The 26,314-nt window shown below is 52.6% G+C and overlaps 1 protein-coding gene across 1 annotated transcript, besides 2 other annotated features; it reads left to right on the top strand.

Annotated features, from left to right (window-relative positions):
• Positions 8,286–8,528: an enhancer, noted in NCBI's record as "heart enhancer 22". NCBI's record gives its function as "activates a minimal c-fos promoter by transgenic reporter assays in zebrafish embryonic heart {active_cell/tissue: heart(embryonic)}" and the evidence as "EXISTENCE:transgenic organism evidence [ECO:0001131][PMID:20075146]".
• Positions 9,252–25,714, top strand: CKM (creatine kinase, M-type). The gene is made up of 8 exons (NM_001824.5): positions 9,252–9,306; positions 12,396–12,606; positions 14,148–14,302; positions 16,530–16,662; positions 20,207–20,378; positions 23,595–23,718; positions 24,477–24,666; positions 25,199–25,714. Exons 2-8 carry the CDS (start codon positions 12,414–12,416, stop codon positions 25,375–25,377), a joined length of 1,146 nt encoding a protein of 381 aa, NP_001815.2. The 5' UTR covers positions 9,252–9,306; positions 12,396–12,413; the 3' UTR covers positions 25,378–25,714.
• Positions 23,440–23,597: a silencer, noted in NCBI's record as "fragment chr19:45811788-45811945 (GRCh37/hg19 assembly coordinates)". NCBI's record gives its function as "represses an EF-1alpha promoter that drives an FKBP-Casp9 reporter gene in an ReSE screen in phorbol 12-myristate 13-acetate-treated (for megakaryocytic differentiation) K562 erythroleukemia cells {active_cell/tissue: K562(+PMA)}" and the evidence as "EXISTENCE:reporter gene assay evidence [ECO:0000049][PMID:32094911]".
• Positions 25,715–26,314: the final 600 nt, after the last annotated feature.

The following is a 26,314-nucleotide window of genomic DNA, read 5'->3' as shown; positions in this document are numbered from 1 at the left end:
TAAAAAGAAAAAGGAAAAAAAGAACGAAGCAACAGAAGACAAAGCAGAGATTTATCCAAGACAATTCACAGAGTGGGAGCGGGCTGGAGCACCTCCCCAATTAGGGTTGTCTTTGTTTTTTTTTTGAGACGTAGTCTCGCTCTGTTGACCAGGCTGGAGTGCAGTGACATGATCTCAGCTCACTGCAACCTCTACCTCCCGCGTTCAAGCGATTCTCCTACCTCAGCCTCCTGAGTAGCTGGGACTCCTAGCACGAGCCACCACGGATGCGCCACCACACCCGGCTAATTATTGTACTTTTAGTAGAGACGGGATTTCACCATGTTGGCCAGGCTGGTCCGAAATTCCTGATCTTGAGTGATTTGGCCGCCTTGACCTCCCAAAGTGCTGGGATTACAGGCGAACCACCGCGCCAGGCCTGCCAGTTAGGGTTTTTATTAAGCTAAAAAGGACCCGGCAACACCCCTAGGTGCCCTTCAGAGGCCTCCAATTGGTTACACTCTATGAAGGGTTGGCTCATGACCAATCAGAGCCCAAGTGGAGACCTGGCTCGCAGTCAATCAGAGGCTGGAGTGGCTTATTATCATGGGAGGGAGAATAGAGCCTGTATGCACCTGTGGCTCTCCTGCCTCCATGAACTGACTGCACCTGCTATTCTGTTGCTTATGCAAACTGGCTGTACCTGATGAACCCCCAGTTACCCTAATTCCCTATTCTCTGCCACACCAGCGCTTTGGGAGGCTAAGCCTGGAGCCCTGGAATTGGAGGCTGCAGGCTCACTTGAGGCTGAGAGTTCAAGACCAGCCTGGGCAACATAGCAAGACCCACCCCATCTGTACAAAAAGAAAAAAAGAAAGAAAAAAAGGAATCCGAAGAGAAAAAAAGTTGAGCAAAAGAAATTAGACAAATGGGCCGGGCGCGGTCACTCCTGCCTATAATCCCAGCACTTTTCAGGCTGAGGTGGGCAGATCACAAGGTCAGCAGTTCAAGACCAGCCTGACCAACATGGTGAAACCCCGTCTCTACTAAAAATACAAAAATTAGCCAGGCGTGGTGGCACGTGTCTGTAATCCCAGCTACTCAGGCGGCTGAGGCAGGAGAATCGCTTGAACCCAGGAGGCAGAGGGTGGCCCGGCCTTCTTCTTTTCTTTGAGATGGAATTTCACTGTTGTTGCCCAGACTGGAGTACAGTGGCACTATATCGGCTCACTGCAACCTCTATCTCCCGGGTTCAAGAGATTCTCCTGCCTCAGCCTCCCAAGTAGCTGGGATTACTGGTATGCATCACCACGCCTGGCTAATTTTTTGTATTTTTAGTAGAGACGGGGTTTCACCATGTTGGTCAAGCTGGTCTCGAACTCCTGACCTCAAGTGATCCACCCACCTAGGCCTCCCACTGCGCTCAGCGAGAACATTTTCTTGGAGGAGAGAGAGACATTCACTGGGAGGGGACATGAGAGAGTTTCTTTGGGAGCTGGTAGTAGTCTCTGTTTAGATCCTGGTGATGCTTATTCACATGTACACGAATATAAAAGTTCATTGATTTTAAGATTAGGGCACTTCACCAAATAGAAATTATGCCTCAATAGGCCGGGCATGGTGGCTCACACCTGTAATCCCAGCACTTTGGGAGGCCTGGGTGGGCAGATCACGAGGTCAGGAGTTCGACCAGCCTGGCCAACATGGTGAAACCCCGTTTCTACTAAAGATACAAAAAATGAGCCAGGTGTGGTGGCGCGCACCTGTAGTCCCAGCTACTCTGAAGGCTGAAGCAGGAGAATCGCTTGAACCCGGGAGGCAGAGGTTGCAGTGAGCCGAGATCACGCCATTGCACTCCAGCCTGGGTGACAGGGTGAGACTCCGTCTCAAAAAAAAAAAAGGAGGGAGGGAGGAAGAGAGGAAGAGAGGGAGGAAGGAAGGAAGGAAGGAAGGAAGGAAGGAAGGAAGGAAGGAAAGAAAATAAATTATGCCTCAATAAAAACAGTAAATTTGGCCGGGCGCAGTGGCTCACGCCTGTAATCCCAGTACTTTGGGAGGCCGAGGCAGGAGGATCAAGAAGTCAGGAGTTTGAGACCAGCCTGGCCAACGTGGTGAAATCCTGTCTCTACTAATAATACAAAAATTAGCCAGGCATGGTGGCACATGCCTATAATCCCAGCTACTCGGGAGGCTGAGGCAGGAGAATCGCTTGAACCTGGGAGGCAGAGGTTGCGGTGAGCCGAGATCCGCCATTGCACTCCAGCCTGGGCAACAAGAGCGAAACTCGATCTCAAAAAAAAAAAAAAAAAAAAAAGAGTAAATTTGAGAAAATAAAATATGAATAAGTGTGAACATCCATACACTCCAAATATAACAGTTCCAATAAAAATACATTTGAAATGATAATAGAATATAAAAACAGGCCAGGTATGGGCCGGGCCGGTGGCTCACGCCTGTAATCCAAGCACTTTGCGAGGCTGAGGCAGGTGGATCACGAGGTCAGGAGATCAAGACCATCCAGGCTAACACAGTGAAACGCTGTCTCTACGAAAAACACACAAAAAATTTAGCTGGATGTGGTGGCAGGCACCTGCAGTCCCAGCTACTCAGGAGGCTGAGGCAGGAGAATGGTGTGAACCCGGGAGGCAGAGCTTGCAGTGAGCCGAGATCACACCACTGCACTCCAGCCTGGGCAACAGAGCGAGACTCCGTCTCAAAAAAAAAAAAAAAAAACACGCCAGGTATGGTGGCTTACACCTGCAATCCCAGCACTTTGTGAGGCTGAGGCAGGAGGATTGCTTGAGGTCAGGAGTTCAAGACCAGGCTGGGCAACATAGCAAGACTGTGTCTTTACAAAAGATACAAAAATTAGCTGGGCATGGTGGCACACATCTGTGATCCCAGCTACTGAGGAGGCTGAGGTGGGAGGATCGCTGAGCTCAGGAGATGGAGGCTGCAATGAGCCAAGATCATACCACTGCATTCCAGCCTGGGAGACAGTGAGATCCTGTCTCTAAACAAACAAACAACATCAAGAAAAAAACAAAACAAAACAAAAAACAACCTGGGATAAACCTAAAGCAGCACCTAGAGGGAAATGTATAGCTAATTTGATAAAATTGATTGATCTGGGGCTGGGTGCAGTGGCTCATGCCTGTAATCCCAGCACTTTGGGAGGCTGAGACGGGCGGATCACTTGAGGTCAGGAGTTGAAGACTAGCCTGGCCAACATGGTGAAACCCCATCTCTATTAAAAATACAAAAATTAGGCCAGGCGCAGTGGCTCCTGCCTGTAATCCTAGCACTTTGGGATGCCAAGGAGGGCAGATCATTTGAGGTCAGGAGTTGGAAACCAGCCTGGCCAACATGGTGAAACCCTGTCTCTACTAAAAATACAAAAATTAGCCAAGGCTGGTGGATGGCAGCTGGAATCCCAGCCACTCAGGAGGCTGAGGCAGGATAACGGCTTGAACCCGGAAAGCAGAGGTTGCAGTGAGCCGAGATCGAATCAGTGCACTCCAGCCTGGGTGACAGAGCGAGACTCCCTCTCAAAGAAAAAAAAAAAGATTGATTGATTTGGAGAGACTGGGGCAGGACAAGTTGGGAGCCATGAAAGACGTTATTTTATTCACCACCCACTACCCTATGGACCAGACCCTGGTCAGCTGATTATGGGGCTGCAGGCTGGCCTGGCTCTCCAGGAAGAGAAAGGAGGAATGGGCAGGGTCTCAACTCCCCAGCCCTGGGTCTGGCCTTGATTTACAACTTGTCTTCTATGAATCAAATGGCATCGTAAATGGCCCGGTTTGGGAAAGGGATTTGAGGAGTGCATGGGGGAGGGCATTACAGGGTGGTGGGCCATGGGGGTGGAGTGCTGCCCTCCCAGAGTCTCTCCTGGAGGTGGCAGCCTCTTCCTGAGGGTAGGGACAGAGACAGATGAGATGCTTAAGAGTAAGACAGGGTTTGAGGGCAGGGCTGCCTTGGGAATGGAGGGAGAAGAGTGTAGACTGTAATTCCAGTTATACTGGCTGTGACCTTAGGTAACTCCCTTGCCCTTTTCGGCCCCAGCGTTCGTCCTCTGTGAAAAGGGGGTTCGACATGAAGAAGTGGGGATCAGGAAGAGATTAGGAAGACAAGCTCCAGGACTGACAGCCTAGTCCAGTCTTGTTCTGCTACTTCCCTGCTGTGTGACTTTCGATAAGTGTTGCAACCTCTCTGGGCCAGCCTTACTTTCCTGATTTGTAAAAACGGCAGTACCTTCTAGACTCCCAGAAGAAAAGTAAATTAAAAAAAAATTGGCAGTACTCACTTCATAGGACTGTTGGAAAATTAAACTAGTGAATACCCATTAAAGTCCTTGGACCCTGAAGTCAGATGGCTGGGGTGATGGGAGATGGGTTGGGGAAGTGGGTACACTAGAGCCTGATGACCTAGAAAGAGGCTGACAATACAGTCTGACGTCGGGGAGAAGCCTGGAAGTTATTTCCACCAAAGCCTGAATCCATTCTTGGCAGCCTTGTACCTGTTTGATTCCCAGTTCTGCCCCCTTCCAGCTGTGTGACTTTGGGCAAGTCACTTAACCTCTCTGAGCCTTATTGTTGGGGACGTTAAATAAGTCAACATATGTAAAGCACTTAGCACAGTACTTGACATACAGGTGTATTCAATAAAAGTTAACTGTCAGGGCCTGGAGTGGTGGTGCGCGCCTGTAGTCCCAGCTACTCGGGAGGCTGAAGCGGGAGGATTGCTTGAGGCTTGGAATTGGAGGCTGCAGTGCACTCTGATTGTGCCTGTGAATAACTACTGTGCTCCAGCCTGAGCAACATAGCGAGACCCCATCAAGAACCCATGTCTAAACAAACAAACAAACAAACAAAAGCTTCTTTGTGGAGTGGCTGTTTAATGTCCATGTTAACCTCCTTCGAGCACATTCTCCTGTCAATGAAGAGGCTGGAAAGCTAAAGACTAGATTTTCCAGAGGGAAAGTAGGAAAGTAGTTCTGGGGCCCGAGCAGTGTTCCTTCAGCCCTTCCAACGATTTTGTCAGTGCCTAATACATGATAGTACAGTCCTTTTTTTTTTTTTTTTTTTTGAGATGGAGTCTCGCTCTGTCGCCCAGGCTGAAGTGCAGTGGTGCGATCTCGGCTCACTGCAACTCCGCCTCCCGGGTTCACACCATTCTCCTGCCTCAGGCCCCGGAGTAGCTGGGACGACATGCGCCTGCCACCACGCACGGCTAATTTTTTTTTTTTTGTATATTTTTGTAGTAGAGACAGGGTTTCACCGTGTTAGCCAGGATAGTCTCGATCTCCTAACCTCGTGATCCGCCCGCCTCGGCCTCTCAAAGTGCTGGGATTACAGGCGTGAGCCACTGCGCCCAGCCAATAGCAGAGTCCTTTCTATTTAAGCTGGGTAGTGGTTACTCTCGCCTACATCTGCCAGATACAGTTACTATTATTTATTTAGTCAACAAATACTCATTTACCTTGAGGGCACTGGGGAGCCATGGCAAGCTCTGAGGAGGGGAGGTCAGCAGGTAGGGTTTAGGTGGGAATGGCAAAGACTGGGACAGGAGTCCAGGGAGGAAGTTGGGTCAGGAGGGACAGTGGAGGCGGTCTTGAGCTAGAGTGGGCAGTGGAGGGGCAGAGGTCGGATTGACAGTCGGGCTCTGGGGGGTGGGATGAAGATACGTGATGAGGGTTGTAAAGCTCCCCAAGGCCAACTGTTTCTTTAAGACTCAAAGCAGAGGGAGCTCACGGCACAAGGTCCTGCTGGAGCGTTTGATTGGCTCAGCCCAGGTCACTGGCCTGGACCATTGCTGCAAGGGATTCTGGGAAATTGAGTTTCTGGCATCTTTGGCTTCTCCAAAGGAGGAGGGCTTACAGTGGGGAATCCCCGAACATAGAAAAGGCTTCTGGCACTGTGTGGCTAAAAAGAATGTGCAATGGGCCCGGCAGGGTGCCTCACGCCTGTAATCCCAGCACTCTGGGAGGCCGAGGTGGGTGGATCACCTGAGGTAGGAGTCTGAGACTAGCCTGGCCAACATGGCAAAACCCCTTCTCTACTAAAAATATAAAAGTTAGCAGAGCGTGGTGGCCCATGCCTGTAGTCCCAGCTACTCGGGAGGCTGAGGCAGGAGAATCGCTTGAACCTGGGAGGCGGAGGTTGCAGTGAGCTGACATCGCACCATTGCACTCCTGCCTGGTGATAGAGCAAGACTCCATCTCAAAAAAAAAAAAAAAAAAACAAACCCTCCCACAAGGTGTGGCTGGACCGTGCCACCCAAAATGCGTGTGGCATGGATCCAGCCTCTTCCCTGCTTATGACCCTCAGTGCCTCCTGTCAGTCTCACAGTGGGATGATGATGATGATTTTTTCCATTTAATATTTTAAAAAATTATTCTAAAAAATTTTTTGTAGGTATTTAGTAGGTGTGTATATTTATGGGGTATATGAAACGTTTTGTTCTTTTTTTTTTTTTTTTTTTTGAGATGGAGTTTCACTCTTTTTGCCCAGGCTAGAGTGCAATGGCGCGATTTCGGCCCGCAGAAACCTCTGCCTCCCGAGTTCAAGCGATTCTCCTGCCTCAGCCTACCGAGTAGCTGGGATTACAGGCATGTGCCACCACCCCGGCTAATTTTGTATTTTTAGTAGAGACAGGGTTTCTCCACGTTGATCAGGCTGGTCTTGAACTCCCGACCTCAGGTGATCTGCCCACCTCGGCCTCCCAAAGTGCTGGGATTACAGGCGTGAGCCACTGCACCCGGCCATGAAATGTTTTGATACAGGCATGCAACTTGTAATAATCACATCGTGGAGAATGGGGTATCCATCTTCTCAAGCATTTATCCTTTATATTACAAACAATCCAATTATACTCCTTTAGTTATTTTAATTAATTTTTGTGTGTGTGAGACAGGGTCTCACTCTCTTGCCCAGGATGGAGTGCAGCAGTGGCTCGATCACAGCTCACTGCAGCCTCGACTGCCTGGGTTCAAGCAATCCTCCTGCCTCAGCCTCCTTGTTTTGATTTTTAGATCCCACAAATAACTTGTGATGTTTGTCTTTCTATACCTGGTTCATTTAACATTTTCTTTTTCTTTTCTTTTCTTTTTTTTTTTTTTTGTGAGACTGAGTCTTGCTCTGTCACTCAGGCTGGAGGGCAATGGTGCCATCTCAGCTCACTGCAACCTCCACCTCCTAGGTTCAAGCAATTCTTATGCCTCAGCCTCCTGGCTAGCTGGGATTACAGGCGTGTGTCACCATGCCAGGCTAATTTTTGTACTTTTAGTAGAGATGGGGTTTCACCATGTTGGCCAGGCTGGTCTTGAACTCCTGGCCTCAAGTGATCCACCCGCCTCCGCCTCTGCCTCCCAAAGTGCTGGGATTACGGGCCTGAGCCACTGTGCCCGGCCCATCTAACATTTTCACTGTCAATCACAATGGGATTAAAACTCCTCCCACAGCCCCTAGGGCACCATGGGTCTGCTCCTGTCTCCCCTCCAACCTCATCTTCTTCCTCCCACTCTCTCCTTGGCCCCATCTGCTCCAGTCCCCTGGCCTCCTTCCTGTCTGTCCTCAGATGTGCCCAGCCATTCTCACCTCAGCGCCTTTGCACCTGCTGTTCCCCCCAGAGCCGCACATGGCTGGCTCCCTGTTCTCCTTCAGGTCTCTGCTCAGATGTCATCTTCCCAAAGAGGCCTGCCTCGACCTCCCCTGCTGCTGTGCCGTCCCCTCATCTGTGACCCTCTTGCACTATCACCTCCAGGACGGCGGGGGTTTTGTGTTTTGTTGTAGCCTCAGGAAGTGCCTGATAGATCCCTGTTTCGAGACCAGTTCCATTTGGTTTTCTGGGCCTCAGTTTCCGTAACCGTGAAGGAGACCCTCGGCAATCTGAGCTTGCTGGGAAAGGGCTGGGCCCCATGTAAATATTTCTAAAGCACCCCTCTCCCCTCCCCCCTCAGATCAGGAGTCTGAGGGAGAGGCACAGAGGCTCCCTTTCTCTAAGCCAGTCCTCACCTGCCTAAGAAGATGTGAAGGAGACCCAGGAGACCCTGGGATAGGGAGGAACTCAGAGGGAAGGGACATTCTTTTCTTCGTCGCAATCCTGGGAGCTCCCTGGAGGAGGAGACCCGATCAGCCTGCAATCCTGGCGCGTCCCAGGAGGAGAAAGCGGCTTCCTCTATACTGTACTCTCCTCCACAGAACCCCCCTCTCAGCCCTGGAAGTCCTTGCTCACAGCCGAGGCGCCGAGAGCGCTTGCTCTGCCCAGATCTGCGCGAGTCTGGCGCCCGCGCTCTGAACGGCGTCGCTGCCCAGCCCCCTTCCCCGGGAGGTGGGAGCGGCCACCCAGGGCCCCGTGGCTGCCCTTGTAAGGAGGCGAGGCCCGAGGACACCCGAGACGCCCGGTTATAATTAACCAGGACACGTGGCGAACCCCCCTCCAACACCTGCCCCCGAACCCCCCCATACCCAGCGCCTCGGGTCTCGGCCTTTGCGGCAGAGGAGACAGCAAAGCGCCCTCTAAAAATAACTCCTTTCCCGGCGACCGAGACCCTCCCTGTCCCCCGCACAGCGGAAATCTCCCAGTGGCACCGAGGGGGCGAGGGTTAAGTGGGGGGGAGGGTGACCACCGCCTCCCACCCTTGCCCTGAGTTTGAATCTCTCCAACTCAGCCAGCCTCAGTTTCCCCTCCACTCAGTCCCTAGGAGGAAGGGGCGCCCAAGCGCGGGTTTCTGGGGTTAGACTGCCCTCCATTGCAATTGGTCCTTCTCCCGGCCTCTGCTTCCTCCAGCTCACAGGGTATCTGCTCCTCCTGGAGCCACACCTTGGTTCCCCGAGGTGCCGCTGGGACTCGGGTAGGGGTGAGGGCCCAGGGGGCACAGGGGGAGCCGAGGGCCACAGGAAGGGCTGGTGGCTGAAGGAGACTCAGGGGCCAGGGGACGGTGGCTTCTACGTGCTTGGGACGTTCCCAGCCACCGTCCCATGTTCCCGGCGGGGGGCCAGCTGTCCCCACCGCCAGCCCAACTCAGCACTTGGTCAGGGTATCAGCTTGGTGGGGGGGCGTGAGCCCAGCCCCTGGGGCGGCTCAGCCCATACAAGGCCATGGGGCTGGGCGCAAAGCATGCCTGGGTTCAGGGTGGGTATGGTGCGGGAGCAGGGAGGTGAGAGGCTCAGCTGCCCTCCAGAACTCCTCCCTGGGGACAACCCCTCCCAGCCAATAGCACAGCCTAGGTCCCCCTATATAAGGCCACGGCTGCTGGCCCTTCCTTTGGGTCAGTGTCACCTCCAGGATACAGACAGCCCCCCTTCAGCCCAGCCCAGCCAGGTACTGCACGGGGCGGGAATCTGGGTGGGGGCCAGAGTAGGGGATTTCTGTGGGTGCTAGAGGCTTGGCTTGGGAAAGGGTCTGTGTGTCACCCCTTGCTCCACCAACATCCTCCTATACAAAGGCAGGTCGGTGCGTGGGAAGGTTGACCCTTGTGTGTCTGGGAGGCCCCTCCATCTGTGAGGCTGCCTGAACCCCCCACTGGGACCTGTGATTTCTGCGGCACAAGTCTTGGGTTATGGGGAGGGATCCGAGATGAAAGGGGTCCTGACAGCTGCCAACTGTCACCCCCTGCAAGGGGCTGTTGAGCCAGGCCTGTGTTCATTACAGTTTGTCGCCAACACTGGCGCCACAAGCCGTGGGAGGTGTGTCTGTCGCCTAGCAGAGTCTGCAAGAGCAGGTGTCGCAGGCTTTCTTTGCGTTTGCTACTGTGTGGGTCCCTGTGACCTTGTTTCTGACTTAGTAGCGGACACATGAGTGTCCTGGGCATGTCCTTGAGTTTGGAAGTGTGACTGTGTGACTTAGTTTACAGTGTGATCTGGGGAGTCTGCGGTGGTGGGGGTGTGTGGCTCTGGGGCTTTCTGCTTATGTCTCTTGTGGGGGGGGTCACCACCCTGCCTCAGTGCCCTCTCCTGGGGTGTCCCTGGCAGGGATTAGGGGGGCATCCTCTGAAGGGAGGGGGTCTGGGCTGCCATCCCAGGATGTCCTTGAGCCCCGAGGCCTGGACCCGTGTCCTCCCAGCCACCCTGGCCCACCTGTCTTGGGCCTGCTGACTTGGTGCAAGCCGAGCCCCGGAATGTGGGGGTGGGGCGGGGCAGCAGCTGGGGGTGGGATGGCAGGCAGTTGCCAGATTCTAAAAATAACCACCCTGGACAGCAGCACCCAAGGTCTTTGGCGGGTCCCTGTTCCTCTTCCCTGGCTTCAGCTCACCGTGGTCCCAATCTCCCTCCCACAATCCCACCTGCTTCCCATCCCCGTCTCCCACCGCTGCTGGAGGCCCCTTCTCCTTTCTGGGTCCCTTCTCCTTTCTGGGTCCAGTGAATAAAATAATAATAACAGTAGGACCTGGCGCAGTGGCTCACACGCATAATCCCAGCATCTTGGGAGGCCGATGCTGGAGGATCACTTGAGGCCAGGAGTCCCAGACCAGCCTGGGCAACATAGTGAGACCCCATCTCTGCAAAAAAGTAGTAATAACAAATAACAATAATAGCAGCCACCAGGGTTCCAGGCTCCAACTCCATGCCAGGGCCTGTGCTCAGCCAACCTCATGGCCAAGCTCAGAGGATCCTGGCAATCCTACGGGGCAGGCTCAGTTCACAGGAGACAGAGGTCCAGAGAGGCCTAGTGACTGGCCTGGGGTCACACAGCAGGGAAATGGCATAGGTGGGATTTGAACCTGCCTCTGACGACCCAGAGGCTGAGCTTTTCTTCCCTTCTGAGCCCTGTGGGAGAACTGTCAGCAGGCAGAGGTGGGGGCAGCTACCCAGCCCTCCCCCGACCCAGCCCTTTGTCTTTGGATTGATAATCCAAGAACCTGCTCACATACTCCCAGCAGCACCCTCACCTCCACCTTCTCACCAGCTCCTCGCACGAACCTTTAAAATAACAACAACAGGCCAGGTGCCGTGACTCATGCCTGTAATCTCAGCACTTTGGGAGGCAGAGGTGGGCGGATCACTTGAGTTCAGGAGTTCAAGACCAGCCTGGCCAACATGGCGAAACCCCAACTCTACTAAAAATACCAAAAAAAAAAATAGCCAGGTGTGGCACACGCCTGTAGTTGCAGCTACTCAGGAGGCTGAAGCAGGATAGTTGCTTGAACCTGGGAGGTGGAGGTTGCAGTGAACTGAGATTATGCCACTGCACTCTAGCCTGGGCGACAGAGCGAGACTCTGTCTCAAACATAATAATAATAATAATAATAATAGCAGCTAAGTGAAATAATGCTTATTGTGTACCAGGCACTGTTCCGAGAGCTACACCTGTATTCACACATTTAATCTTTTCAACACTCCCATGCGGCAAGTGCTGTTAGGATCCTCATTTTCTAGATGAGTAAATTGAGGCACAGAGGTTAAGCAACTTGCCCCTGGCCACACAGCTGGTTGTAGGTAGCAGAGCTGGGAATCAAACCCTGGGCTGATTCCAGAACCTACACTCTTACCCACACAAAATATTTTTCCAGCCTCCGGGAGGGGCCCGTTTTCCACCTGGGGAAATTGAGTTTCCAGCAAGAATGACTAGTCCAGGCTCACCCAACTGGGATACGGCAGAGCCAGGCCCTTGATCTAAGACTCCGGATGCCTTCCTGCTGAGACACAGGGGCTCAGAGAGAGGATTTCTCTTGCTCCAAGTTACACAGCCTGCCTGACCCCAACGCCTTGCCCAGTTCTCTTGCTGCTGTCTGCAAGATGCGAGCTAGGCGGGGCACAGTGGCTCACGCCTGTAATCCCAGCACTTTGGGAGGCCGAGGCGGGTGGATCACTTGAGGCCAGGAGTTCGAGACCAGCCTGGCCAACCAGTAGAGATGGTGAAACCCCATCTCTAATAAAAATACAAAAAAATTAGCCAGGCATGGTGGTGTGCGCCTGTAATCCCAGCTACTCAGGAGGCTGAGACAGGAGAATCTCTTGAACCTGGGAGGTGGAGGCTGCAGTGAGCCGAGGTCTCGCCACTGCACTCCAACCTGGGTAACAGAGTGAGACTCCATCTCAAAAAAAAGAAGAAAAGGCCGGGTGCAGTGGCTCACGCCTGTAATCCCAGCACTTTGGGAGGCCGAGGCGGGCGGATCACAAGGTCAGGAGATCAAGACTATCCTGGCTAACATGGTGAAACCCCGTCTCTACTAAAAATACAAAAAATGAGCCGGCGTGGTGGCGGGCGCCTGTATTCCCAGCTACTCGGGAGGCTGAGGCGGGAGAATGGTGTGAACCCAGGAGGTGGAGCTTGCAGTGAGCCGAGATCGTGCCACTGCACTCCAGCCTGGGTGACAGAGCGAGACTCCGTCTCAAAAAAAAAAAAAGAAGAAGAAGAAGAAAAAAGATGCCAGCTAATCTTCAATCTTCCCCTCCTGCCCTGCCCATCAGGTCTCCTACACCGCCACCATGCCATTCGGTAACACCCACAACAAGTTCAAGCTGAATTACAAGCCTGAGGAGGAGTACCCCGACCTCAGCAAACATAACAACCACATGGCCAAGGTACTGACCCTTGAACTCTACAAGAAGCTGCGGGACAAGGAGACTCCATCTGGCTTCACTGTAGACGATGTCATCCAGACAGGAGTGGACAACCCAGGTGAGCCTCCCCAGTGGAGCACTGAAGGGGCTACATGGGGGCTCTGGAGGCTGCCGGCCATGCCCCAATCCCACCACCCTTGAAGGGGGGGGGGCCTCAGTTTTCTCATCTGTAAAATGGGGCTGTTGTGGGAATCAATGCATTAATATACATAAAGGCTTGGGACAGTGCGAGGTACTCAGCAAACCACGCAATAAACATGCACGAGAATAATGTGAGATCCCCAAGGAGGTCGGTTCACCTCCTGAACCTCAGTCTCCTCATCTGAAAAATGGGCGCCCACGTTGTGAAAACACAAGTCAATGGCTGTGCAGTGCTTAGAGTGGCACCTGGCACCAAGTGAGTGCTCAAGCTCTGACAGGGGGGCCAGGTGCAGTGGCTCATGCCTGTAATCCCAGCACTTTGGGAGGCCCAGGTGGGAGGATCACTTGAGGCCAGGAGTTTGAGACCAGCCTGAGCAACATAGCAAGACCCTGTCTCTACAAAAAATACAAAAAAATTAGCCAAGTGTGGTGATGAGGGCTTGTGGTCCAAGCTACTCAGGAGGCTGCGGTGGGAGGATCGCTTGAGCCTGGGAGGTGCAGGTTGCAGTAAGCCGAGATCGCGCCACTGTACTCCAGCCACAGAGTGAGACCCTGTCTCAAAAAAAAAAAAAAAGAATCTGACAGGGGATGTTATTAATGTTATGGTTGTTTCTCAAAGGACATTGCAAGGCGAAGAGAGCTGGGAGTGGAGGGGAGGCTCTAGTGCCCCTCACATCCAGCTCACTGTGTGATGCCGGGGAGAAGCCCCTCTCTCCTGGCCCCTGTTTTTCCACTGGGAAACAAGAGGGTCTTTCAAGTCTCTTACCCTCCTGACCCTCTGTGGTACGGTGGTAGCCTGAGATCCTAACATTTCAGGCTAAGATGTCATGACTTTGGGTGCTAATGTTTCCGAGGTGCTGATGCTTTTAGCACCATGTACCCTCTGAAGCTCCCCTTTCTCCTTTGACCCCGCCCCCAGCACTCTTTCTTCTCTCCCACCTTGACCCCTCCCAGCCACCTTGACCTCTCCCAGCCTTCCCTCCCAGTTCCCACCAGTCCTCAGTGTTCTCTCTTTTTTTTTTTTTCCTTTGGAGACAGAGTCTTGCTCTGTCACCCAGGCTGGAGTGCAGTGGTGTGATCTTGGCTCACTGCAACCTCCACTCCCTTGGTTCAAGCAATTCTCATGCCTCAGCCTCCTGAGTAGCTGGGATTACAGGTGTGTGCCCCACACCCAGCTAATTTTTGTATTTTTAGCAGAGATGGGGTTTCACCCTGTTGGCCAGGCTGGTCTCACACTCCTGACCTCAAGAGATTCACCCGCCTCACCCTCCCAAAGTGCTGGGATTGCAGGCATGAGCCACTGTGCCCAACCCTTATGATTCTCAATTCCCACCCAGAGGTATTGAATGTACCCGCCCCCATCCCGACACACATGTCCACACAGGCTCCACTGAGCCCACAAGCCCACGCCCTGTTTGCTGGGGACAAGCAGCTCTGACCTCACCCCCACCCCTCCAGGTCACCCCTTCATCATGACCGTGGGCTGCGTGGCTGGTGATGAGGAGTCCTACGAAGTTTTCAAGGAACTCTTTGACCCCATCATCTCGGATCGCCACGGGGGCTACAAACCCACTGACAAGCACAAGACTGACCTCAACCATGAAAACCTCAAGGTCGGTGTCTGCGCAGGAGGGGAGGGCCGAGGGGTGAGGAGGAGAGAGATCACAGGAGAAATGGGGGGAGACAGAGAAATACAGAGACAGAGAGAGACACAGAGGTGTGGAGAAGCAGAGAGATGGAAAGAGAGAGGGACATTGGGAGGCTGAGGCGAGCGTATCACTTGAGGTCAGGAGTTCAAGACCAGCCTGGCCAACATGGCAAAACTCTGTCTTTAAAAAAAAAAAAAAGGGCTGGGCACGGCGGTGGCTCACGCCTGTAATCCCAGCACTTTGGGAGGCCAAGGCGGGCAGATCACCTTAGATTGAGAGTTTGAGACCAGCCTGACCAACATGGTGAAACCCCGTCTCTACTAAAAATACAGAATTAGCTGGGTGTGGTGGCACATGCCTGTAATCCCAGCTACGTGGGAGGCTGAGGCAGGAGAATCGCTTGAACCTGGAAGGCAGAGGTTGTGGTGAGCAGAGATCGTGCCATTGCACTCCAGCCTGGGCAACAAGGGCGAAACTCGTCTCAAAAAATAAATAAATAAATAAATAAAATAAATTAGCTGGGCATGGTGGCGCGTGCCTGTAATCCCAGCTACTCAGGAGGTGGAGGCAGGAAAATCTCTTGAACCCAGGAGATGGAGGCTGCAGTGAGCTGAGATCATGCCACTGCACTCCAGCCTGGGTGACAGAGCAAGATTCTATCTCAGAAAATAAAAAAAGGAAAGAGAGAGGGACAGAGAGACACAGAGACAGCCAAGGAGACACAGACAACCAAGGAGACAGACAGACAAAGGAGAGGGAGAGGGAGAAGAAAGGCACAAAAGCATGTAGAAAAGGAAGAGGCATAGCCGGGCACAGTGGCTCACGCTTGTAATCCCAACACTTTGGGAGGCTGAGGTGGGCGGATCATAAGGTCAGGAGTTCGAGACCAGCCTGACCAACACGGTGAAACCCAGTCTCTATTAAAAATACAAAAATTAGCTAGGCATGCTGGTGTTCACCTATAATCCTAGCTATTCAGCCTGGGTGACAGAGCGAGACTCTGCCTAAAAAAAAAAGGGTGGGGGGAGAGGCAGAGACACAGAGGGAGACAGAAGGGAGCATCAGAGAAGGCAGGAGAGACAGGGAGAGAGAGACACACGCAGTTGCAGTCAGACACAGACAAGGAGAGTGGGAGAAAGGGAGACAGGAAGAGAAACAGAAATGGGCAGAAAGGCTGGGTGCAGTGGCTATACCTGTAATCCCAGCACTTATGGAGGCTGAGGTGTGAGGATCACGTGAAGCCAGGAGAGTTCACGACCAGCTTGGGCAACATAGCAAGAACCCGTCTCTGCCCAAAAAAAAGAAAAAAAAAAGCCTAAAAATTTAGCTAGGCATGGTGGCTCATGCCTGTAATCCCATCACGTTGGGAGGCTGAGGCAGGAGGACTGTTTGAGCCCAGGAGTTTGAGACCAGCCTGGGCAACATAGTGACACCCTGTCTCTATTTTTTTTTTTTTTTTGAGACAGAATCTCACTCTGTCACCCAGGTTGGAGTGCAGTGGCTCGATCTCAGCTCACGGAAACCCCTGATCCCCAGGTTCAAGTGATTCTCGTGCCTCAGCCTCCTGAGTAGCTGGGATTACAGGCGCGCACCACCACGCCCAGCTAATTTTTGTATTTTTAGTAGAAATGGGGTTTCACCATGTTGGCCAAGCTGGTTTCGAACTCCTGACCTCAGGTGATTGGCTCACCTCGGCTTCCCAAAGTGTTGGGATTACAGGTGTGAGCCACCGCGCCCAGCCCCTGTCTCTATTTATAAAAAATTTATTTTAAGTTAGCCGAACATGGTGGCATATACCTACCTGTTAGTCCCAGCTACTTGGGAGGCTGAGGCAGGGGAATTGCTTGAGCCCAGGAGTTTGAGGTTGCAGTGAGCTATGATGGCACCACTGCACTCCAGCCTGGGCGACAGAGAGAGACCCTGTCTCGAAGAAAAAAAAGGAAAAGAAATATACGAAGATGGGGAGAGAGAGGTATAAAGAAAAACAGAGATAGGAGAGGGGAGAGAGACAGAGAAGGGAGAGACAGAGCCCAGGTATGGGTGGCGGGGAGAGGCTCCACACACCCAATCAGTGAGGATGCAGAAGGCAAAGGAAGCAACAGGGAGACTGAGGGGAGCATCTGGGGGAGACCTGGGCTTGCTGGAGAGGGCGGAGGATCTGCCTGGTCCTGATCTCCCACCCGCTCTCCAGGGTGGAGACGACCTGGACCCTAACTACGTGCTCAGCAGCCGCGTCCGCACTGGCCGCAGCATCAAGGGCTACACGTTGCCCCCACACTGCTCCCGTGGCGAGCGCCGGGCGGTGGAGAAGCTCTCTGTGGAAGGTGAGCGCCCCTACCCCGTCCACTGCTGGGGTCACCCAGCCCTGGCTCTGTTCCTCCATGGGCAGGTCCTCGGGTCTCTTTGGGCCCCCGCTTTTCAAAGTAGGGGAAGAGCTTGGTAAATCGTGGGGGCTTGGGGAATGGCGCGGGCTGTCAGCATTACCTGCTGTGTTGGAGATTCAGGGATGCTGTCCAGACCCGACGGCCCCTGAGAAGACCTACGCAGACACCTGGCTGCCCCCAGCGTCCTGCCATCCGTTCATCCAGCACACATTTCCAGGGGTTCTTGCCCTGTGTGGGGAGATAGGGGTCCCTCACTGTTCTCACAGAGTGTTCAGCTGGTGGGGAGACAAGAGGAAATACAGAAACCCACAGATGAACAAGATAATTCAAAAGTGCCATGAAGCCAAGACATGGGTGTGGTGGAGAATGACCGAGGGGAGCCACCTCAGATAGGAGGAGTTGAGGCCGGGCACAGTGGCTCCCACAGCAGTGCGGGAGGCCTAGGAGGGAGGGTCGCTTGAGCCCAGGAGTTCAAGACCAGACTGGGCAATACAGCAAGACCCTGTCTCTACAAAAAAGACAAAAATGAGCCAGGAGTGGTGGCACACACCTGTCATCCCAGCTACTCAGGAGACTGAGGTGGGAGGATCACTTGAGCCCGGGAGGTTGAGGCTGCAGTGAATCGTGATTGTGCCACTGCACTCCAGCCAGGGTGACAGAGTGAGAACCTGCCTCAAAAACAAATAAAAAGAGGCCAGGCACAGTGGCTCACACCGTAATCCCAGCATTTTGGGAAGCTGAGGCAGGTGGATCATTTGAGGTCAGGAGTTTGAGACCAGCCTGGCCAACATGGTAAAACCCCATCTCTACTAAAAATACAAAAATCAGCTGGGTCTGGTGGCACACACCTGTAATCCCAGCGACTTGGGAGACTGAGGCAGGAGAATCGCTTGAACCTGGGAGGCAGAGGTTGCAGTGAGCTGAGATCACGCCACTGCACTCCAGCCTGGGGGACAGAGTGTGACTCCATCTCAAAAAAAAAAGTTATGTTTATCCTATACTGTAGTCTGTTAAGTGCACAATAGCATTATGTCTAGAAAAAAAAAAGTACATACCTTAATTTTAAAATCCTGCTAAAAATGTTGTGATCATTTGAGGACTCAGCAAGTTGGAACCTTTCTGTTGTGTAGGGCCTTGCCTTGATGTTGATGGGCTGCTGACTGATCAGGGCGGTTGTCGTTCAAGGTTGAGATGGCTGCGGCAATTCCTTCCTTCCTTCCTTCCTTCCTTTCCTTTCTTTTCTTCCTCCCTTCCTTCCCTTCCTTCCCTCCCTCCCTTCCTTCCCTTCCCTTCCCTTTTCTTCTCCGTCCTTCCTTCCTTCCTTCTTTCCTCCCTCCCTTCCTCCCTTCCTTCCTTCCTTCTCTTTCTCTCTCTCTTTTCAAGACAGGGTCTTGTTCTGTTGCCCAGCTGGAATGCAGTGGTGCAATCATGACTTACCATAACCTCCAACTCCTGGGCTTAAGTGATCCTCCCATGTTGGTCTCCCAAAGTGCTGGCATTACAGGTGTGAGCCACAGTGCCTGGCCAGCAGTAATAGTTTGAAAAGAATCTCTTTTTTGAGATGGAGCCACACTCTTGTCGCCCAGGCTGGAGTGCAGTGGTGCAATCTTGGCTTACTGTTACCTCCACCTCGTGGTTCAAGCAATTCTCGTGTCTCAGCCACCCAAGTAGCTGAGATCACCGGCATGCGCCACCACGCCTGGCTAATTTTTGTATTTTTAGTAGAATCGGGGTTTCGCCATCTTGGCCAGGCTGGTCTCAAACTCCTGATCTCAGGTGATCTGCCTGCCTCAGCCTCCCAAACCACTAGGATTACAGGCGTGAGCCACCGCACCTGGCCTATGAAGCTTTTTATTTAAAGTGAAAAATGTTGACTCTTCCTTTCACTTGAACACCTCGAGGCCATTGTAAGGTTATGAACTGAATTGGCCTGATTTCAAAATCATGTGTCTCAGGGAATACGGAGGCTCAAGGAGATGGGGAGAGATGAGGGAATGGCTGGTCAGTGGGGCAGTCCGAGCACACACATTTATCCATTAAGTTCACCCTTTTATATGGGCAAGGTCGGTGGCACCCCCCAAAATTAAAACAGTAACATCAGAGATCACTGATCACGGATCGCCATGACAGATATAGTAATAATGAGAAAGTCTGCAGTACTGTGAGAATTACCCACATGTGACACAGAGACACGAAGTGGCACATGCTGTAGGAAAAATGGCTCCAATAGACCTGCTGGACAAAGAGTTGCCACAAACCTCCAATTTGTAAAAAACACAGTATCTGCAAAATGCAATAAAACGAGGTATGTCTGTATATTATATGAATATGTATAAGATATATAAATATTATAGATTTATTGTACATATGCACAAACACAAATTCATTATACACATATTTTATACATGAATATACAAATAAACACACAATTTTTTTTCTTTTTTTTTTTTTTAGACAGAATCTCACTCTGTCACCCAGGCTGGAGTGCAGTGGCAAAATCTCAGCTCACTGCAACCTCCACCTCTTGGGTTCAAGTGTTTCTCGTGCCTCAGCCTCTTGAGTAGCTGGGATTACAGGCGTGTGCCACCATGGCCGACTAATTTTTGTATTTTTAGTGGAGACGGGGTTTCACCATGTTGGCCAGGCTGGTCTCAAAATCCTGACCTCAAGTGATCTGCCTGCCTTGGCCTCCCAAAGTGCTGGGATTATAGGCATGAGCCACTGCGCCCAGCCTACAATTTTTTTTTTTTTAAAGATTGGGGTCTTGGGCCAGGCGCCCAAGTGGAGAAACCCCGTCTCTACTAAAAATACAAAATTAGCCGGGCATGGTGGCGCATGCCTGTAATCCCAGGTACTTGAGAGGCTGAGGCAAGAGATTCGCTTGAACCCGGGAGACGGAGGTGGCAGTGAGCCAAGATCGCGCCATTGCGCTCCAGCCTGGGCAACAAGAGCAAAACTCCGTCTCATAAAAAAAAAAAAAAAAGATGGGGGTCTTGCTATGTTACCCAGACTGGACTCGAACTCCTGGGCTTAAGTGATCCTCCTGCCTCAGCCTCCCCAGTATCTGGACTACAGGCTCGTGCCAGTGCACCTGGCTACCATTCTACTTTATAATAATTTTTACTAATGGCCTCTCAAAGTCCTGAGACTTCAGCCATCTGTGTTGCCAGCCATTAGGAGCAGGCACCAGCACACTGTGGCCTGCAGGTGGATTGGATGTGAGGGTCCCTCAGGGGAAGAGGTGGGTCTGTTTTCCAGATTGAGCACATGGGGTGGCCATTCCTGGGGGCCTGGACAGATGGCAGGAACAGATTTTGGGGAGCCGTCACAAGTGTGGGTTTAGACACAGGGTTCAGGTGCCTTTAGGACATCCAGGGGGCCAAGGCCCAGGCCCGTTAGGAGCAGCAGCAGGGGAAACCCTGGGCCTCCACACCCTGGTTGAGGTGGGACAGGCTGCTGACCACTCCCTCGTGTGTCCCCATAGCTCTCAACAGCCTGACGGGCGAGTTCAAAGGGAAGTACTACCCTCTGAAGAGCATGACGGAGAAGGAGCAGCAGCAGCTCATCGATGACCACTTCCTGTTCGACAAGCCCGTGTCCCCGCTGCTGCTGGCCTCAGGCATGGCCCGCGACTGGCCCGACGCCCGTGGCATCTGGTGAGGCCCCTCCCCGCCCCCTGGCTTCCTCTTCCCCCAGCCTCCTCCAGTCCTGCAACGGCCCTCCTCACTCCTCCACCAAAACCAAGGCCATATACGTAATTATGATCTTCTAAATGCCACGGAAAATGATCTTGCCCTCCGCCCCTGCCCATCCTGTGGTCTGTGTGTCAGATTTTGGGATATCTGGACCGGAGAAGTGGTAGTTAAAAACTTAAGACTTGGCGGGGCACGGTGGCTCATGCCTGTAATCCCTGCACTTTGCGAGGCCAAGGCGGGGGGATCACTTGAGGTCAGGAGTTTGAGACCAGCCTGGCCAACACGGTGTCTACTAAAAATGACAAAAATTTAGCTGGGCGTAGTGGCAGGCGCCTGTAGTCCCAGCTACTTGGGAAGATGATGCAGGAGAATCGCTTGAACCCAGGTGGCGGAGGTTGCAGTGAGCCGAGATCGTGCCACTGCACTCCAGCCTGGGCGACAGAGCCAGACTGTCTCAAAAAAAAACAAACAAAAAAGAAAGAACTTAGACTTGGCCGGGCACAGTGGCTCACACCTGTAATCCCAGCACTTTGGGAGGCTGCAGCAGGAGGGTCGCTTGTGCCCAGGAGTTCTAGACCAGCCTGGGCAACATAGGGAGACCACGTCGCTACAAAAATTAAAAAAAAAAAAAGCCAGGCGCGGTGGCTCACGCCTGTAATCCCAGCACTTTGGGAGGCCAAGGTGGGCGGATCACGAGGTCAGGAGATTGACACCATCCTGGCTAACACGGTGAAACCCCGTCTCTACTAAAACTACAAAAAAAAAAAAAAAATTAGCCCGGCGTCGTGGCAGGCGCCTGTAGTCCCAGCTACTTGGGAGGCTGAGGCAGGAGAATGGCCTGAACCCAAGAGGCGGAGCTTGCAGTGAGCTGAGATCGTGCCACTGCACTCCAGCCTGGGCGACAGGAGACTCCGTCTCAAAAAAAAAAAAAAAAAAAAAAAAAAAAAAAAGCCAGGCGTGATGGCGTATACCTGTGGTCCCAGCTACTCGAGAGGCTGAGGATCAGCTGGGCCCAGAGGATTGAGGTTACTGTGAATCATGACCGAGGTACTGCACTCCAGCTACCTGTCTCAAAAATAAGAACTCAGACTTGAACCGTACTCCCTAGGTTCAAATCCCAGCTCTACCATTTACTAACTTTACTAGCTTTGTGACCTTGGGCAACTTATTTTATTTTTCTCTACCCCAGTTTCCTAGCTATAGGATAGGGATCACAATAATTTGTAGTTTCTGGTGTTCTTGTGAGGATTAAATGAGTTAATTTATGTAAAGTATTAAAAGCAGTGCCTGGGCCAGGCGCGGTGGCTCACGCCTGTAATCCCAGCACTTTGGGAGGCCAAGGCGGGCGGATCACGAGGTCAGGAGATCGAGACCATCCTGGCTAACATGGTGAAACCCCGTCTCTACTAAAAATACAAAAAATTAGCTGGGCTTGGTGGCAGGCGCCTGTAGTCCTACTTACTCGTGAGGCTGAGGCAGGAGAATGGCGTGAACCCGGGAGGCGGAGCTTGAAGTGAGCCAAGATCGCATCACTGCACTCCAGCCTGGGCGACAGACCAAGACTCTGTCTCAAAAAAAAAAAAAAAAAAAAAAGCAGTGCCTGGTATACACTAAGTGTTCAGTACATCTTGGTTATTCGTCTTATCTTTATTATAAAGTATTATTGCTAGACTTGTTTTGACTCTTTGAATCCCTGATTCAGATAGTCAAAGATTTAGAGAACCTAGGTTTCAATCGATGAAGGGAGCCTGGGTGCTAAGATATACAGATGGGATGATTCTAAGATTTCAAGATTTTAAATATTTTTAGGTTTTAAGATTCCACTCATTTATTTATTTATTTATTTTGAGATGGACTCTCACTCTGAGGCCCAGGCTGGAGTGCAGTGGGTTGATCTCGACTCACTGAAACCTCCATCTCCCGGGTTCAAACGATCCTCTCACCCTCCGCCTCCTTAGTAGCTAGGACGACAGGCATGTGCCACTGTGCCCAGCTAGTTTTCGTATTTTTGGTAGAGACAGCGTTCTGCCATGTTGCTCAGGCTGGTCTCGAACTCTTCACCTTAAGTGATCCGCCCACCTCAGCCTCCCAAAGTGCTGGGATTACAAGCGTGAGCCACCATGCCTGCCCTCAGGTTTTTTTTTTTTTTTTTTTGAGACAGGGTCTTGCTCTGTTGCCCAGGCTGGAGTGCAGTGGTGGGATCATAGCTCGCTGCAGCCTGGACCTTCCAAGGTCAAGTGATCCTCCCGCCTCAGCCTCCCCAGTGGCTTGGACTACAGGCATGTGTCCCACCATGCCTGCTAATTTTTTAAATTTTGTAGATATGTGGGTCTTGCCATGTTGCCCAGGGTAGTCTTGAACTCCTGGGCTCAAGCAATCCTCCGGCCTTGGCCTCCCAAAGTGCTGGGATTACAGGCATGAGCCACCACACCCGGCCATTTCCGGATCTTAATATTTTATGTTCTTTTTTTTTTTTTTTTTTGAGATGGAGTCTCGCTCTGTTGCCCAGGCTGGAGTGCAGTGGCGCGATCTCGACTCACTGCAAGCTCCACCTCCCGGGTTCTCGCCATTCTCTTGCCTCAGCCTCCTGAGTAGCTGGGACTACAGATGCCCGCCACCATGCCCAGATTTTTTTTTGTATTTTTTAGTAGAGACAGGGTTTCGACGTGTTAGCCAGGATGGTGTCGATCTCCTGACCTTGTGATCCGCCCGCCTCGGCCTCCCAAAGTGCTGGGATTACAGGCGTGAGCCACCGCACCCAGCCTTAATATTTTATGTTCTAAGATCCTGCTTCTGAGATGCTAGGATTGGGAGCTAACACACTACGATGGGAAGATTTTCTGGTCCTGAAACCAGATGTAGGATTACCAAGTGTTATCAGTTCTGATCCCAAGCTTCTGTTTGTCAAACATCCTGAGATCCCAAGGATCTATAATAATACTGTTCAAAGACTTAAGTCCCTAAAAGTCCTTGATCCCAGGATTCAGCGTTTTGCAGATCCTGTGACATTAGAGTCTACAGGTTTAAGCTTCTGCGTTTTGAGGAGGCAGATGCCACCCACCTCCCACCCCTCAGGCCCTCTTCCCCCATCGGTGGGCAGATGTTTTGGGGGAGGGCTGGGAATGGGGTTCCCACGGGGCTGACACCTTGGCCTCTTGCTGCGGCACCTTACTCTAGGCACAATGACAACAAGAGCTTCCTGGTGTGGGTGAACGAGGAGGATCACCTCCGGGTCATCTCCATGGAGAAGGGGGGCAACATGAAGGAGGTTTTCCGCCGCTTCTGCGTAGGGCTGCAGAAGGTGGGTGTCTGCCCTTAGCTGCTGACTTCTGACTCCACCTTGAACGCCCCACCTGCTTTCCGAGGCCCCGCCCCTTCCCCTATACTAAGCCCTGCCCCACCCATTTTCCAGGGCCCTGCCCCCCGGACCTGGCTCCACCCCATGCCAAACCCCGCCCCCCAAAACTAGCCCCACCCGCTTTTCAGGGCCCCGCCCCTGGACCCAGCTCCACCCTATGCCCAAGCCCCGCCCGTAAGGATCCGCCTTCAGGCCGGGAGCGGTGGCTCACGCCTGTAATCCCAGCACTTTGGGAGGCTGAGGAGGGTCAGGAGTTCAAGACCAGCCTGGCCAACATGGTGAAACCCCGTCTCTATACTAAAAAATTAATAAATAAATAAATTATCCAGGCGTAGTGGCGCGCGCCTGTAGTCCCAGCTACTCGGGAGGCTGAGGCAGGAGAATCGCTTGAACCTGGGAGGCAGAGGTTGCAGTGAGACGAGATCACGCCATTGCACTCCAGCCTGGGTGACACAGAGAGACTCTGGAAAAAAAAAAAAAAAAAACCCGCCTTCAAAGCGTTCTTAGTCCCCGCCCCTCAAAATCCTGCCTTGGTCCCCATTGTCTAGCCAGCACCCTCGGAATCTCCTACCTCCCTGTTCCCCTCAGAATCCCACCTCCACCACGTTCCCACGCCCTGTCCCTCCGGACCCTGTCCATGTTGCGGGTGCATTTGGGGGTGCCTGCCGGCGCTGACCCCTGGTCCTCTCTCTGAACCTCAGATTGAGGAGATCTTTAAGAAAGCTGGCCACCCCTTCATGTGGAACCAGCACCTGGGCTACGTGCTCACCTGCCCATCCAACCTGGGCACTGGGCTGCGTGGAGGCGTGCATGTGAAGCTGGCGCACCTGAGCAAGCACCCCAAGTTCGAGGAGATCCTCACCCGCCTGCGTCTGCAGAAGAGGGGTACAGGTACGGCTCCCACATCCTTTGCACCACGACGGAGGGGGAGCGAGGGCCCTTTGCAGGGATGCAAGGAGAGGTGCGACATCCCTGCGAGTTCTGGGGATCCGGCAAGGGCTGACCCTCTGTGAGCTTGCATTTCTTCCTCTGTAAAATGGGTGTCAATATGCCTATGTGATAGGAGTCAATGTGGGATTTTCATGATTATATAATATGCATTGCACATGCCCTTGGACCTCCCTCGGGGCCTCAGTTTCCCCATTTATAAAGCGAGGAGTGGTCAGGATTCGACCCTAGGCCGCCTGGCTCCAGAACCCACTCTCTTACCCACTATACTATGTTTGATAACTGAGTGGCGTGGTACCCCATCTGAAGTCAGAGACTCGTGAGCTCACGAATGAACAGGCATTACCTGTGTGCAGGTAACCTGTTACACAGTAGGCACTCACTACATGCGGCTGTTGCATTTGGCACGGGGGCCACGTCCCAGCCCCTCTGCACCTTCGCTGCCTCTTCACGCCCCTGTCCCTTGCTCCCACAGGTGGCGTGGACACAGCTGCCGTGGGCTCAGTATTTGACGTGTCCAACGCTGATCGGCTGGGCTCGTCCGAAGTAGAACAGGTGCAGCTGGTGGTGGATGGTGTGAAGCTCATGGTGGAAATGGAGAAGAAGTTGGAGAAAGGCCAGTCCATTGACGACATGATCCCCGCCCAGAAGTAGGCGCCTGCCCACCTGCCACCGACTGCTGGAACCCAGCCAGTGGGAGGGCCTGGCCCACCAGAGTCCTGCTCCCTCACTCCTCGCCCCGCCCCCTGTCCCAGAGTCCCACCTGGGGGCTCTCTCCACCCTTCTCAGAGTTCCAGTTTCAACCAGAGTTCCAACCAATGGGCTCCATCCTCTGGATTCTGGCCAATGAAATATCTCCCTGGCAGGGTCCTCTTCTTTTCCCAGAGCTCCACCCCAACCAGGAGCTCTAGTTAATGGAGAGCTCCCAGCACACTCGGAGCTTGTGCTTTGTCTCCACGCAAAGCGATAAATAAAAGCATTGGTGGCCTTAGCTTTGTGCGATAGTTATTGAGGGAGGACGTGCAATTGGCCACTGTGTGGTCTCAGAGTGGTTTGTCCTGTCTAGGCATGTACTAAACATGTCTTATCCCGGGTCTAAAATGAGGCAAAGTTAGGTCACAGAATCTAGTCCAAAAATTAGAAGGCTCTATGGGGAATCTGAGACCCAGAGAGACACTGAGCCCAGTGTCACTCACCCAAAGCATGGGCCCTTTCCAACTATGGCTTTGAATTAGTCATGCTCAGATCTCAAACACGAGGTCCACGCTGGGGAGGAATGCAGCCAAACGAAATGTCTGAAACTTGAATTTAGCCCAACGGTCTCCAGTTTTGAGACCTCCCATGCAGCTCGTCACATCTACCTATATTCTGCTTCTCAGTGGCCTCCTTCTGTCCCGTCTGACTTCATCCCTCTGTAGCTGCTGCCAGTCCCTTACTTTCTCAAGAACCTGCCATGGCTCCCCATTTCTCCTAGAAAGCTTTTCTGTTATTTTGCAACTCAAGGCCACACTGAAATGCATACCATTTGCTGGAGGCTCACCTTTCCAGTTCTTTCCCCATTACTCCTCTGATTCTTTCACACCTGACACCC

The sequence above is a fragment of the Homo sapiens genome, chromosome 19, assembly GCF_000001405.40.
Source record: "Homo sapiens chromosome 19, GRCh38.p14 Primary Assembly".
NCBI classification, from domain to species: Eukaryota; Metazoa; Chordata; class Mammalia; order Primates; family Hominidae; genus Homo; species Homo sapiens.
This window is presented reverse-complemented; position numbering and strand designations above follow the sequence as displayed.